This window comes from Homo sapiens, chromosome 10 (assembly GCF_000001405.40).
Source record: "Homo sapiens chromosome 10, GRCh38.p14 Primary Assembly".
Taxonomy (NCBI): Eukaryota; Metazoa; Chordata; class Mammalia; order Primates; family Hominidae; genus Homo; species Homo sapiens.
This window is the reverse complement of record NC_000010.11, coordinates 47,727,655-47,743,502: the sequence shown is the minus strand read 5'-3', so window position 1 is coordinate 47,743,502 and position 15,848 is coordinate 47,727,655. Positions and strand designations below refer to the sequence as shown.

At 39.7% G+C, this 15,848-nt stretch overlaps 1 protein-coding gene, 1 long non-coding RNA gene and 1 pseudogene across 5 annotated transcripts in view; 2 read left to right on the top strand and 1 right to left on the bottom strand.

The window, feature by feature from the left end:
- Nucleotides 1-15,848, top strand: part of ANXA8 (annexin A8) — a 523,804-nt gene that overhangs the window by 248,294 nt on the left and 259,662 nt on the right. The window lies entirely within an intron of this gene.
- On the top strand, nt 9,319-13,971 carry LOC124902422 (uncharacterized). The gene is made up of 3 exons (XR_007062142.1): nt 9,319-9,524; nt 10,905-11,068; nt 13,726-13,971. It is a non-coding gene; the product is annotated as an uncharacterized LOC124902422 (long non-coding RNA).
- The window catches only part of SHLD2P3 (shieldin complex subunit 2 pseudogene 3), a 41,519-nt pseudogene continuing 37,955 nt past the window's right edge, over nt 12,285-15,848 (bottom strand). For all 3 annotated transcript variants that reach the window (NR_027634.1, NR_160661.1, NR_160660.1), the window contains one exon: nt 12,285-13,266. The product of NR_027634.1 is annotated as a shieldin complex subunit 2 pseudogene 3, transcript variant 1 (transcript). The remainder of the gene's footprint in view (nt 13,267-15,848) is intronic.

Here is a 15,848-nt window from a genome sequence, read left to right as displayed (position 1 = left end):
TCCCTCCCCACCAAAATAACCAACGACCTGATTTTTATGGCAAACACTGCTTTTACCACCTAACCATGCAACTTCTCTCTCTCTCTCTCTCTCTCTCACACACACACACACACACACACACACATATATATGTATATATATATATGTGTATATATATATATGTATATATATATGTATATATATATATGTGTATATATATATATATGTGTATATATATATGTGTGTATATATATATATGTATATATATATATATATATGAAGCCTGTTGTGATTTTGATTGGGATTGCATTGAGATTTTTTTCTTTTTCCATTTCTTTTTTTTTTTTTTTTTTGAGACAGAGTCTTGCTCTGTCTCCCAGGCTGGAGTGCAGTGGCCTGATCTTGGCTCACTACAAGCTCCGCCTCCCGGGTTCACGCCATTCTCCTGCCTCAGCCTCCCGAGTAGCTGGGACTACAGGCGCCCGCCACCACGCCCGGCTAATTTTTTGTATTTTTTTTTTTTTTTTTTTTTTAGTAGAGACGGGGTTTCACCGTGTTAACCAGGATGGTCTCGATCTCCTGACCTCATGATCTGCCCGCCTCAGCCTCCCAAAGTGCTGGGATTACAGGCGTGAGCCACTGCGCCCGGGGTTGCATTGAGTTTATAAGTCAATTCAGGGGAGAATTGACATCTTTAAAATACTGGGTCATCTAATCAGTTCACATGGTATGTACTTCTGTTTATTTACCTCTTCTCTCATTTCTCTAAATAATATTTAAAGTGTCATGGACATCTTTCATTAAATTTTTCCCCAGACATTTGAATTTTTATGCTACCATAAATGGTATTGTTTTAAAATGTTTTATTTTCTAACTCTTGCTGGTATACAGAAATAAAATTGGTTTTCCTATTTTGACCATTTATTCAGTCATGCTAAACTCACTAATTCTAATAACTTGTCTCTGGATTCTTTTGAGTTGTTAATATACATACATAGTTTTGTATCTTAGGTCCAATCTTAGTATTTTTATTTCAACTTTTTTGCCTTATTACTCTTGTTAGGAATACCAGGAAAGTATTGAATACAAGTGATGATAATGGACATCTTTGTCTTATTTCTGTTCTCAGAAATGTTTCCACATTTCATTATTAAGGAAAATATTTACCATAGTTGTAGCTCCTTGAGATAAACAGTGTTAAAATTTTTTGGCCACTCTCCATTGATTTAATGTATAGTTTTCTAAAAATGAAATATTTTACATACTGTTTCTGAGTAAGATTTTTTACCCAATGCGCTGTAAACACCAAAATCATATATTTTTATATAGTTTTACTTGGCTTACCTTGTTTTTTTGCTTTAACTTGAAAAATATTTCCCTGTTAGGCCAGGCGCAGTGGCTCACGCCTGTAATCCCAGCACTTTGGGAGAGCGAGGCGAGAGGCTCACCTAAGCCTGGGAGTCTGAGACCAGTCTGGCCAACATGGAAAAACCCCATCTCTATTAAAAATACAAAATTAGCCAGGCATGGAGGTGCATGCCTGTAATCCCAGCTACTCGGGAGGCTGAGGCAGAAGAATTGCTTGAACCTGAGAGGTGGAGGTTGCGGTGAGCCAAGATCGTGCCATTGCACTCCAGCCTGGGCAACAAGAGCAAAACTCTGTCTCAAAAAAAAAAAAAAAAAATCCCTGTTTATTCTTTTTTTATAATCGTTTTATTGAGATATAATTCACATATATGATTCATCCATTTAAAATGTATAATTCGATGGTTATTGGAATATTTACATTTCTGTTTAATTCCCTCAATTAATTTTTACATCAACTTGTCAACTTGTATAGGCCATCCCTCAGGGACTTTGTTTATTGTTGAATTAACTCTGTATAGTACATCTTCCCAAACAGCAGGAGCACAGTAGAGTGTTCCACTACTTCTTGTCTCCTTTTATTTCCCTCATGATATTTAAATCATTTCCTTTCAATAAATTAAGCTCTTAAAGTTTTTGGTTTTATCTGTGAGCATGATTATTTTTATTTAGAATTATGTATTACTGTTATATGGTAATATAATTTTGTAAATTTGTTATGTGTAATTAATATATTACTAGCATATTTTTTATTTCCTGGGATTATTTTTCTTAATATATATTCTAGTTATTCAAAATAGTGACATTTTAATTTATTTAAGACTTCTTGTTACGATTACATACGTATTTTTATTCTCAAATCATATAGCCAGCATTTCTACTGCTGAACAAAATGCTTTGAAATATCAATAATACATATATCTGACTTTTATCTAGAATACATATGTCTGATCAGTAAAAAGACAAACAACCCAATAAGATAAATGTGCAGATGACTTGAGAGACACTTCACAAATGAAGGTATACAAATGGCCAATGAGCACATGAAAAGTTGTGCATCATTAGTCATCAGTGAAAGAGAAACCAAAACCAGGAGGTTCCACTTTACAGCCTCTAGAATGGCTACAGTGAAAATGACTGACATCTCAAATGTTGACAAGGATGTACAACAACTGGAAGCCTCCGTTTTGGCTGCGGAGAGTGTAAAACTGCACAACTTTGGAGCACTGTTTGGCAGATTCTTCTCAAGTTAAATATATACCTATCCAATAAACTGACAATCTCAGTCCTAGCTATTTAAATCCCTGCCCCAACAAAAACTTATGTCCACAACAAGACTTGTTTTAAAAATGTTTTTAGCAGCTTTATTCATAATAGTTCGAAACTGGAAAGAACTCAAATGACCTTCAACAGGCGAATGGATAATATATTCACACATTGATATATTACTGAACAATAAAAAAGAATAAACTGCTGATTCACATAAAAATATGGATAAGCCTGAAAAACATTCTTAGGTTAAAAAAAGCCAGTTACAAAGGAATATATACTGTATGATTTCATTTACATGAAGTCCAAACAAAGATCAAACTAGTGTATAGTGATAGAAATCAGAATAGTGGTTGGCCATCATGGATGGAGGAGACTGACTGGAAGTGGGGATGAATGAAAATTCTAGGGTGATGGAAATGCTCCATATCTTGTTTGGGGTTCAGTTACATGAATGTATATATTTGTTAAAACTCTAAATTGTACACTTAAGACCTGTGCATTTAACTATACGTTTTCATGCAATTTTTTTTTAAATTCCAAGAAAAAGGATCTGATTGACCCAATTTGAGTCAGGCATCCTACTGCCTTGCATAATCAGTTTTTGCCAAGGAATCCAAACAAGCAGTATAGACGTGACCTAGAGAAGGGGCACCAGAATGGGCTTGGCTCCCACCCACAAAGTTCCAATATCTCCTACATGATGTCAGTTTTGGGGACCAAAACCATATCATCTTTTTCTATTATTTGGATGTGATCTTTTTATTTATGTATGTTTGTTGTTGGTTTTATTTTTTTAGAGACAGGGTCTCGCTTTGTCATCCAGGCTGGAGTGTAGTGGCAGATCATAGCTCACTGCAGCCTCAAACTCCCGGGCTCAAGTGATCTTCCTGCCTCAGCCTCTTGAGTAGTGTGTCACCATGCCTGGCTAATTTTTTTTTTTTTTTTTTTTAGTGTTTTATAGAGACAAGATCTTGCTATGTTGTCCAGGCTGGTCTCCAATTCCTGGCCTCAAGCAATCCTCCCATCTCAGGCTCCCAAGGTACAGGGATTACGGGAGTGAGCCACCACACCGGAACTGATCTTTCTAACACAGGGAAATTGTATTCTTTAGAAGTGGAGGAATATTTCCTAGTAATTTGATCAAGTAAAAATAATTATAATAAAGAAGGTAAAATCAAGCCCTAATTCCCCATGTAGGGGAATAATATCATTTTGGTAAGATTCTTCCAGACAGTATGATTAGGATGTTACATAAATCAAACTGTGCTATATACAGTATGCAGAGAAGGAAATTCCTTAGCTTGTCTAAAGTCTGATAGTGTGAAGAATTTGCTGACCTGCTCTCCATGCCTGTCTGAGCACGAGTGAAGTGAATCAGAGAGAGATTGCAAGATGGAGAAAGGAGGTACAGTTGGAGAGAGTGGAGGGGGCAGGAAAGACCAGACAGAGCTGCATCTCCCATGAAAACAACTGTGTACATAAGATAGAGTGAGTACATAGAGTACATAGAAGAGTGAGCTCTGAAAGAACTCTCACATGGACCCCAGAAAGAGGAGTACTCAACGCCTGCTGCACAGAAGGCATCAACAGTTAAGTACTGGCTAGAAAAGCGGAGTCCATCAAAGGAGAGGACCACAGTGGTAGCTGCCTGGTAAGTACCACTGTCCCCTTTCCTTCTTTTCTCCCTCCCCAGCTCATGGAGGAGCTAGGCCTCAGGAAGCTGGGAAGGAATGGGGAGAATTCACCTCGGTGCCAGTTCACGCCCTCCCTCCAGCTCCAACAGCTGGAGTCAAAGGAAAGGAAGGGTGCACCTATCTCCTCCCCATTCCAAGTCCCTTTAGTGACTAGCTGGACATGCTCTGGAGAAGAGCAAAATGAGGTTGGAATTTAAACAATACCAGACTTTCTAAAACACAATGCCTGGGAAGTTATGTGAGGCATGTGAGACATGAGGGGATGGAAAAGGGATTCAACAGAGCATAGTTGAAATCAATGATTTAAAAAAACAAAAAAACTGGCTGATGGCTCATACCTGTAATCCAAGCTCTTTAGGAGGCTGAGGCAGGTGGATTGCTTGAGCCCAGGAGTTCCAGACCAGCCTGGGCAACATGGCAAAACTCCATCTCTACAAAAAATACAAAAATTATCCAGGTGTGGTGGCACATGCCTGTAGCCCCAGTTACCAAGGAGGCTGAGGTGGGAGGATAGCTTGAGCCTGAGAGGCAGAGGTTGCAGTGAGCTGAGATCATACCACTGCACTCCAGCCTGGGCAACAGAGTGAGACCCTGTATCAAAAAAAAAAAAAAATTTCCATAGTTAATACCCTTTAAATGTGGACTGCTAAATAAAGCTAAAGCTAAGGAACATTAAAGAATACTTTATTAATTGAAAAAGCATGCTCTTCTTAAATAGTAAGCCTTAACCACTGAAAACATGTCCAAATGATCCATAAATTCAAAGCAATCTCATTAAAAATATCAATGGGATAAAAATGATTCTAAACTTATCTCAAGAACAGATGGCATGCCCACTAGGATGGCTATAATCAAAAAGTCAGATAATAATAAAAAGTGCTGGTGAGGATGTGGAGAAATCAGAACTCCAATGCATTCTCATGGGAATGTAAAATAGTGCACCTGCATTAGAAAAGTTTGGCAGTTCCTCAAATGGTTAAACCATACAACCCAGCAATTCCACTCCTGGGTACATACCCAAGAGAAATGAAAATATACATCCACACAAAGACTTGCACACAAATGTTCATGATAGTACAATTAAAAATAACCAAAAAGTGGGAAAAACTCAGTTGGCCATCAACTGATGAATAGATACATAAAATGCGGTATATCCATACAATGGAATATTATTTGGCAATAAAAACAATGAAGTAGTGATACATGCTACATGTGTGAACCTTGAAAACACTATACCAAGTGAAAGAAATCAGTTACAAAGGACCACATATTGTATGATTCCATTCATGTGAAATGTCAGAATAGTGAAATCTATACAGCCACTAAGTAGAAGAGTGGTTACCTAGGGTTGGGGGAAAGGGGGTGGGTATGGAGGAGCGACTGTTAGCTCCTCTTAAGGAAGAGCTGTGGGGTGGTATAGTTAATGTAACTATGGATGATTCTTTTGGGGGTGATGAAATGTTCCAAAATTGAGTGTGCTGATGGTCACACACTCTGAATATACTAAAAAACACTGCAACATATACTCTTAATGGGGAATAAAAAAGAACAGATGGGCAAAGATGTCTGAGAAAAACAATTTTAATGAAGAAAAATATGGGGGTACTTTTCCTATCAGATGTAAAGTTATAATAATTCTAACTGTATGGTTCTGGCTCAGCAATAAATATAGAACAATGAAACAGACTAGAAAGTCCACAGGTAATGCTAGCAGGAATAATAATTTCATATTATAATAAAGATCACATCTATGTCACTGATGGGAAAGAAAGAAATCAATAGTGTTGGGACAACCAGCTGACCATTTTAGGAAAATGAATCAGTTAGATCCATTCATACCATGCACTAAATTTTAGATAATTAAAGATTTAAATACAAATATAACAATCATAAATGTTTCAGAAAATTTTTTGAAGAAAATGTGTATAATCTTATAGTAGAAAAGAAGCTATCTAGGCATGCCATAAAATCTAGAAACAATAAAGAAAAAGATTGATGGGTTGATCCACGTAAATATTTATGATTTCTGCATGTCAAACATATATAACAAGCTTGGGAAAAATGTCTGCAACACATGTTAAAAATTACTAACTTTATAAGGAGAACATACTAATTTAATAAAAGGCTTCTCCCACATAAAAATGGTCTAAGGTAAAATATGAAAAAGCAAACTGCAAATGACTGATAAGCATATGAAGCAAATGTACAATCACTTTAGCAATAAAATAATTCAATTAAGGCTGGGCGCAGTGGTTCACACCTGTAGTCTCAGTACTTTGGGAGGCTGAGGCAGGCAGATCACTTGAGGCCAGAAGTTCAAGACTAGCCTGGCCAACATGGCAAAATCCTGTCTCTACTAAAAATACAAAAACTAGCTGGGCATGGTGGTGCACACCTGTAATCCCAGCTACTCAGGAGGCTGAGGCAGGAGAATCGCTTGAACCCAGGAGGCAGATGTTGCAGTGAGCCAAGATCGCACCACTGCACTCCAGCCAGGGTGACAGAGTGAAACTGTGTCTCAAAAAAAAAGAAAAAGAAAAAAGAAAAAGAAAACCTCAAAAAAAATTCCAATTAAAACAGATAACCTTTTTTAAACCTAACAACTAGTCTTTCACTTATGCCATTCAGTTTAGAGAGAGTGTGGAAAACTTCTGATAGGAATATATTTCAGGATAACCTTTCTGAGAACATTTTAAAAGTAGGATTCAAGAGCACACACAAATGATGGAATCCTGTGTAGTTGATATGATTTAATCTATGTTGATTGATTTGGAAAGACGTATATGGCAAATTGTGGAGTAAAAAAAGTACACACTAGATACTGGCCTATATGGAATGGTCCCATTTATGTAAAATTGTGTATGTGCATGCACAGATCTGTCTTCTATCAGGGTATCTGGAAAATGTTCAACAAAATAGTAACAATGGTTATCTGTTTTGTTTTGTTTTTTCAGAGACAGGGTCTTGCTCTATTGCCCAGGCTGGAGTACAGTGGTGCAATCATAGCTCACTGTAGCCTCTAACTCCTGGGCTCATGCCACACAATCCTCCTGCCTCAGCCTCCTGAGTAGCTGGGACTACAGGCATGTACCACCCTGCGTGGCTCTCGTTATCTGTTGATACTGGAATTTCTGCTTTTTTCCTGGTACAGATACATACATACAAGTACTTTGACCCCAAAATTCTATTTTCTTAGAATAAATTCCCAGAAGGAATGAAAGATGTGTGCAAAGACTATCAATGAGAATGTTGGCCAGACGTGGTAGTCTACACCTGTAATCCCAGCACTTTGGGAGGCTGAGGCAAAGGGGATCACTTGAGGCCAGGAGTTTAGACCAGCCTGGGCAACATGGCAAAAACATGTCTCTACAAAAAATACAAAAAGTGTCCAGGTATGGAGGCATATGCCTGTAGTCCCAGCTACTCATAGGAGGCTGAGGCAGGAGGATCACTTGAGCCCAGGGAGGCTGAGGCTGCAGTGAGCCATGATCACACCACTGCACTCCAACCTGGTTAACAGAATGTCTCTAAAAATAAAATAAAATAAGATGTAGATACATGCAGGAGGCTGAGGTGATGGATCACTTGAGCCCAGGAGTTTGAGTCCAGCCTGGGCAACATTGAAAGACTATATATTTTAAAGCAGACACATGTACAAAATCATACATGCATAAAACAACTGAAGGAATATCTATTAAAATGTTGGCAGCAATTAGCTTTGGTTGGTAGAATAACAGAAGGGTTACTTTTCTCACTTTCATTCATCCATATTTTCCAAAGTTAAAAAAAAAAAGAAACGGCCTGGTGCAGTGGCTCACGCCTATAGTCCTAGCACTTTGGGAGGCCAAGGCAAGAGGGTCGGTTGAGCCCAGGAGCTCAAGACCAGCCTGGGCAATGTAGGGAGACCCTGTCTCTACAAAAAATAAAAAATCAGTTGTTGTGGTCTGCCCTTATAGTCCCAGCTACCAGGGAGGCTGAGGTGGAAGGATTGCTTGCGCCCAGGAGGTAGAGGCTACAGTGAGCCATAATTGTGCCACTGTACTCCAGCCTGGGTGACAGAGCAAGACCGTCTCTCAAAAAAGGCAAAACAAAACAAAACAAAAAACAAGGAACATGCGTTTTTGTTTAAAGGAAAACGTTTTTTTTTTAAGTTTATAATTTTTTTTTTTTTTTTAAACAGAGTCTCACTCTGTCACCCAGGCTAGAGTTGAACTGGCGTGATCTCAGCTCACTGCAAGCTCCACCTCCCAGGTTCAAGCAATTCTCCTGCCTCAGCCTCCCAAGTAGCTGGGATTACAGGTGTGCACCACCACGCCTGGCTAACTTTTGTATTTTTAGTAGAGATGAGGTTTCACCATGTTGGCCAGGCTGGTCTCAAACTCCTGACCTCAAGTGATCTGCCCGCCTCAGCCTCCCAGAGTGCTGGGATTATAGGCGTGAGCCACTGTGCCTGGCCTTAAGTTTATAATTTCTTAACATGGTGTTTAATTAAGCCTATTCACAAATATTCTTAAATAACACACCAAAATAATTTACTTATACTCTAATAGGAAAGATTCTACATTAGGATGCAGAATCTGAAGGAAACAATCTTCAATTTCTTGACTTAGACATTCTTGGTAACAGACCCACACAGTAATTAGGTAGCACTTATGTATTGTGATATTACCTGGGGTGTTTATAAGCTGATCCTTTAATAAGCTAGACTAAGTGCAGTAAATCAGCTCACTCTGCAACCAACCAGTCCCACCTCCTAACTGCTCCTGAACTGCAAAGACCAAAAGCCTCAGAGAAGACATATTTCCCAAACTTTCTTGCAGCTAAAGCTCTCAGCGTGAATCATGTTCCATCAATGAAACACACACACATGTGCAATATGGAAGATGAGTGAAATCCAGGCTATCTTCCTGAAGCTACTGTTCCTGGCAAGTGTAGCTGTGGGGACTGAGTTTTGGGCAGCAGCAAATAACTCCCAGCTTCCATGTGCTTGAGAGTCAGTTGCTGGGATGCCAGCAGCTGCATCCTCAGTCTAAGATTGCAGCCAATGATGATGTTTTCATGAATCCACCGTTCACGTGGCAGCCTCCTGGAGCTCAGACTGATGCCTGCTCCTCCAGCCTTCCAATACCTTTGCAAACACCTGAATTCCACATTAATCTCTCTCTGTTTAGAATACCCAGAGTGGCTTGTGTTTCCTGGGCTGAACCCTGCCTGGTAAGTCCATTTTAACAGGCTTCTAGATCTTTCCTCAAAAACTGTAAAGCTGATGATGGTTTTGAAAAAAATCACGATTTCTTAACAACGTGGAAGCAGAGAGGTCACCTTTAGCAAATGTATGCCTTAAGTGGGTAGAATTCACTTCTTAATAACAAATCAGGTTCAAGACCTCCAAAGACATAATGACAATTAATTGGCAAACCTCATCCCCTCTCACACATTTCTCCCCTGTTGACATTAAATCAAGGGCCAGAATTAAGCTACTGATAAAGACGAACACTTTATTCTAATTGTTCTATGATTCATGACCTGTGTTCCAACACCTAGAAACCCATCAGGATACAAATATATCACTTAAAATAAGGCACATAGGGATGGTTAGTTTTTCTGTCTCATTCTATATTGTTCTGAGAAATTACAGATATTTTCTTCTAAGAAAGGCATGATCAACTATTCAAGTTTTGCTGAATCTAAGGTAATGTCAGAATACTCTTAAACAACTTACGGCCTCAGATCCCAGTAGTTTAGAATTCTAGGGACGATGTAAATTCATAATCACTGTGAAAATGTTATCCTATCAAAACTCTGTAGAAACATCTATGCTTTTGCAATAACAGCGTAAAAGACCTCTTCTGATGAGAGAGAGAGAGAGAGGGAGAGGGAGAGAGAAAGAAAAAAAAGAAAGAAAGAAAGAAAGAAAGAAAGAAAGAAAGAAAGAAAGAAAGAAAGAAAGAAAGAAAGAGAGAAAGAAAGAGAAAGAAAGAAAGAAAGAAAGAAAGAAAGAAAGAAAGAAAGAAAGAAAGAAAGAAAGAAAGAAAGAAAGAAAGAAAGATTAGGGAGTTGGGGTAACCAGGTAATTTAGGCCAATGGATTCAACTGTGCCTTAAGCTGGTACTACCCTCATTTATGTGAGTCAATCAAGTCCCCCTTTTTTGCTCAAGCTACTCTGAGTTGGGTTTTTATCACTTGCAACCAAGAGTCATGACTAACAAACCCATCCTACTGTTACCTCTTTTGCCTTGGCTCTGTATTCCACACAGATTTAATCCTGGCGCTGATATAATTTTGTTTAAATATTTCTTCACCAGCTTGCCTGTGAACTTACAGAAGGCAGACATTTGTGTCTTTGCATTTCCAGTGCCTAGCACATGGTAGACATTCAGCGAACGTCTGCAGGGTGGATCATGCACCCAATGTTGTCAACTCATTTGATGATCAGCCCCCTTTCCCCCAACCAAAAAAAAAAAAAAGATGTAAAATGAAACAGCACAGATCTTACTAGTGGGGAGAAAGGTGAATGCCTCTAACGCTGTTAGAAAAAGGATACCTCTGGGGAAACTAAGTGACTAACAAATAAAAATGATTCTCTAAAAATAGGAGAGCTGTCCCTGCAAGCTGAACTAACAGAAGATGAAGAATGAGGTCTCCCTGAAATGCCCACCATAAGACTGCCAGATATGGGACTGCTGGATGACACTCTGGCTACCCCACTGAGTTTTATGAAAACATAACAGAATAAAGACACTTACTTGTCAACTCAGGTAAAGAATACACACAGAAGGTGTCTTAGTCCATTCTGGGTGCTATAACAAAATAACAGACTGGGCAATTTATAAGTAACAGAAACTTATTTTTTACAGTTTGAAGGCTGGGATGATCAAGGTGCCAGAAAATTGAGAATCTAGTGAGGGCTTGCTCTCTGCTTCAAAGATGACACCTTCTGGCTGTATCCTGTGGCAGAAGGGGACAAAGAAGCTCCCTCGGGCCACTTTCGTAAGGGCACTGATCCCATTCACAAGGGCAGAGCCCTCATGATCTAATCACCTCCCAGATGCCCCACTTCTGAATGCCATCAGAGATGAGGTTTCAACGTAAGAATTTTGGGAGGACACATTCAGACCATAGCAGGAGCAATGGGCTGATCCTGATCCCACTTAAATAGCTCATAACTTCTGTAGATAGCTCAGATTCCTCAGGACTGGAGGAAACAGTTCCCAACCTAAATAAGGGCTCCTGGAAATATGTGTTAATTAATGAAATACATACCAACAACTGTGAAGAGATGTTGGTGTGATCTGTTGACTCACCTGAAATGGTTTAAAGATTTCTTCCCAATAGGATGTGAAGAGCCATCTCTTCCTGGGGATTATGTTCTGGTTGATGTAGGGATTAGGTCTCCACTTGAGGACGAAGTGGGGAAGGGCACACTTAAGCGAACAGCTCTCTTGGTTGGCCTATATTGACTGGGCAGATTTTATATCAGAATTCCAAATCTCTGCCTAGTGTGGTTATAGTTGAGAGAGCACAGATTAGAAGGCGTCAACTACAGGCTCAAGTTTCATCACCCATTCAACGAATCATTGAAGGGAGCCAATGATTTTGTTTGAATTCCAGTCTCTCTAGATACAAAATGGAGTCAATTCTTTCTGTACCCACCTTATTAGTTGCTAGACAAAACTTTGGCAATCATTTGCTCTAATTCCCTTATCTACCCCACAAAGAAACTCATCAGTTAAAGCCTTGTTCTTACCTTTCTTGGTCACAGAACCCTCTGAGGATTTGTTGAAAGCTATGGATCCTTCTCCACAGAAACATGCATTTGTGTGTGTGTGCTCCCACAAAGGCATTTTGGCATATTATTTTTGAAAGAATCACAAAACTCTTGTGGTTCGTTCTTAGGGAAGCCAAGTTAAAAAACAACAACCACCTCTGAACCAAAGGAATTTTTAAAAACATACACAGGGTAAAAGAAGCTTGTTCATGTCATCATGAATTTATTTTCAGGCAATATGACAATCTATTAACACTCAGCATACTCTGAACTTACAGAATAAGTACCACGCCATACTTCCTCATTAATGACTATCATTTTACATGAGCTTCTTCCACAATCACAATGAGAGAACAGATTGCTACATGTTTGCTGGTAAATACATTCAGTAAGGCACTCAAATCCTAGACACGAACTAACCACAGAACGCTCTTCCCTGCTTTAATAAATTGAAACATGATCTCATTTCCTTCACTTTCAATACTTTTTATAGAAAGACACGCTTGTCTTGAACTTGTCTAAACATAGGTTTATATAAACTAATCCATTATCATTATAGTTATAATCAAGGAAATGATTTCACATTGACGGTTTTTTAGGTAGGGATAAGCGAAAGCACTGCAGCAGTTTCTGAAGGAGTGTCTTCTCTGTGGTTCCCCATACTTAGTACGATGCCTGGAATGTAGCAGGGACTAAATACAGTGAACAAATGGGCAAACCTTTAATTCCCAGGGATCTGCTACATATTGCCTTGACTGGTAGATCATTTCTCCAGAAGAAAGGAAGAAACCAAAAGACAAAAACAATCTTTTTAAACCTCACAGGATTTTCTTAGAAAAAAGTTTTAATTTATATATCTAGTGCAATTCTCTTTGTAAAATATATTTCATAAAAAATCCAAAGCAAAAGCCCTGTCATTCATTTATTTCAAAAGACAAATCATTTCAGTACTTCTTCCTTGAAATGCCTGCAATTTCTTCCTCTGGCCTCAGAGACGGGCATTGGCTCCATGCTTTACCATGTCAGGATAAAAATCCAGGAGGGAGAAATCTTGTTGTAATGGATAGCTGTTTTCATCTAACACAAAAAGGCTCTGAATCTTCAATACACAAGGTTCTGCGCTGACTGCCAACAAGGAGTGGAACAGGTCTGCCACAACCATCCCATAGGTGATCTCTGAGGAAGGAACTGCAGAAGACGAAAACACAGAGCTCTCAAGATCGCTGCTAGCTTGACAGGAGCACACACATTGAATGGTTTCATTGTTTCTTTTGGTTCCTCAAGTCTCAAACCCATTTTAAATTTCTCCTCCCGGCCAGTAGCGGTGGCTCACACCTGTAATCCCAGCACTCTGGGAGACGGAGGTGGCTGGATTACTTGAGGTCAGGAGTTCGAGACATGCCTGGCCAACACAGTAAAACCCTGTCTCTACTAAAAATACAAAAATTAGCCGGGAGTGGTGGCACATGCCTGTAATCCCAGCTACTCGGGAAGCTGAGGCAGGAGATTTGCTTGAACCCAGGAGGTAGAGGTTGCAATGAGCTGAGATTGTGCCACTGCACTCCAGCCTGGGCAACAGAGCAAGACTCTGCCTCTAAATAAATAAACAGGTAAGTAAACTACTCTTTCTATACCTTCTCTTTCTAGTTACAAGCTATTGAGGCACTCCAGAGTGACAGCATGTGATCCCCCTGACACAAGAAACAGGCCCAGATAACACACCGTTCAGACCAACAGCAGTTCTGGTTATGCTGCAGTACATCAGACGAGTGCTCTTATCCATCCACAGTTCTTATCACAGTTACTTATGCATATATTCATTTTTTATATAAAAGAATCTTGAATCGGTCACTTAAATATTGAATCTCAATAATAAAAAATACTAAAAGTATAGCTAAATGTGTTATTTTATTTTGCATTTGTCCTACACTCTTCCCCTCACTTTTTTAGGACATGTAATCAAGACATTTGGGAGGTTGTTCAATACCAGAATGACAGAGCACCATCGACCATGCTCAGACTGTACTAACCCCTTGACAATTATCACAGTCTTTCTTGGATGGGGACTACAGAGTCCTGGAGGACCAATGACATATTTTGGGGGGTATGATAATTCTCTACAATAACTTTTAAATTTTGTATTTTCACTGCAATAAACTAAAACATAACCAATATTAGTAATAGTCTGCATGGTCTGATGACCACTTTATGACCAATGACATTTTGACTTATGATCACAATCTAATTAATGCCAAGAAGTACAACTTTAATTGTCTCAAGAATGGACAAAACACTGAAGTATATGTGATATGAGAATTATGCTTCTCTAAGAGATAAAGACTAATTTACATTATGCAAAAAAGAAGAGATAGGCCGGACACGGCAGCTCACGCCTGTAATCCCAGCACTTTGGGAGACCGAGGCAGGCAGATCACCTGAGGTTGGGAGTTCAAGACCAGCCTGACTAACATAGAGAAACCCCATATCTACTAAAAATACAAAATTAGCCGGGCATGGTGGCACATGCCTGTAATCCCAGCTACTTGGGAAACTGAGGCAGGAGACTTGCTTGAATCCAGGAGGCAGAGGTTATGGTGAACTGAGATCGCGCCACAGCACTCCAGTCTAGGCAACAAGAGCAAAACTCCATCTCAAAAAAAAAAAGAAGAGATAACACTGAAAATATATAAGTAACATTAAGAAAAGGAATGAAAATAGCCAAAAGAATAAAAATGAAATAAAGAAAATGGGGGAAAAAACGGAGAGAGGCTTCTAATTAAGATGTAGAAAGCTGGAAAAAGTGGCTCCTACCCTAACAGTTACTGGAAAAAACTGAATAAATATAAAATCATCATTTTCTTGAATACACATGAGAACCAAGGTTGTAAAACAGCCAAAAAGACTGAAACATAAGGAGACAGGTGCCTCCAGGGAGATGGAACAGGAGCACAGGTTCCCTTGGGGCAGGCCTTGGGAAGAAGACAGGTCCTCCATACAGGCAGGAAAGAAGAATGTGATTAATTTTTATTAATAAATTAATTGCAAAAAGCCAATGAACTGCCAGTGTCAGCAACATAAGGAACATCTGCATCCTCATAGGCTCTTCCACATAGTACGTCTCACCTCCACCAGGTGCTCATAAGACTGGGGGCAGGGCAAGACATCAGAGAAAGCTTCCAACTACAAAACACAAAGCACCATCTGGCCTCCCCTTTAAGGAACAAAAGCCTTCAATTGCTGGAGGAGGGACACCAAATCCTGTTGCCCCAGGGTACAGGTGAGGAACCAGTACAGATGGGGGAAAGAAAAAAGAAAAAAAAAAACCTCCATCCTGGGGGAGGACTGAAAAACCACCCTGGGTCAAGACCATTAGTGGTCCCCTACTGCTGGGGCAGGGCCAGGACCACACAAGACCCACTAAAGGCACAAGACAGAGCTCAGCTGCCATGCCACATAAGGGACAGGGCTACCAAGAAAGCGCCATGTGCAACATCCGTATAAGACTGGGGCTGGACCAGAATCAAAGAGGAACAACCCTGCTCCCACCCACCAGGTTAGGATGCACCAAATAACAACCAACAAAAGCTTGTGCAACTTGGGGAGGTGCAAGAATATGGAAAGAAACTTTCTCTGAGGCCCAGGTGCAGAGTGGAGGGCTATGCTGATGGTGGAGCAGGAATACTGGGGAACCACTTCCCACCATAAGCACAAGATAATTTGAAACCAGTGGTGACCTGAAGGTAACCAGAGAAACAACAAAACCTGAATCC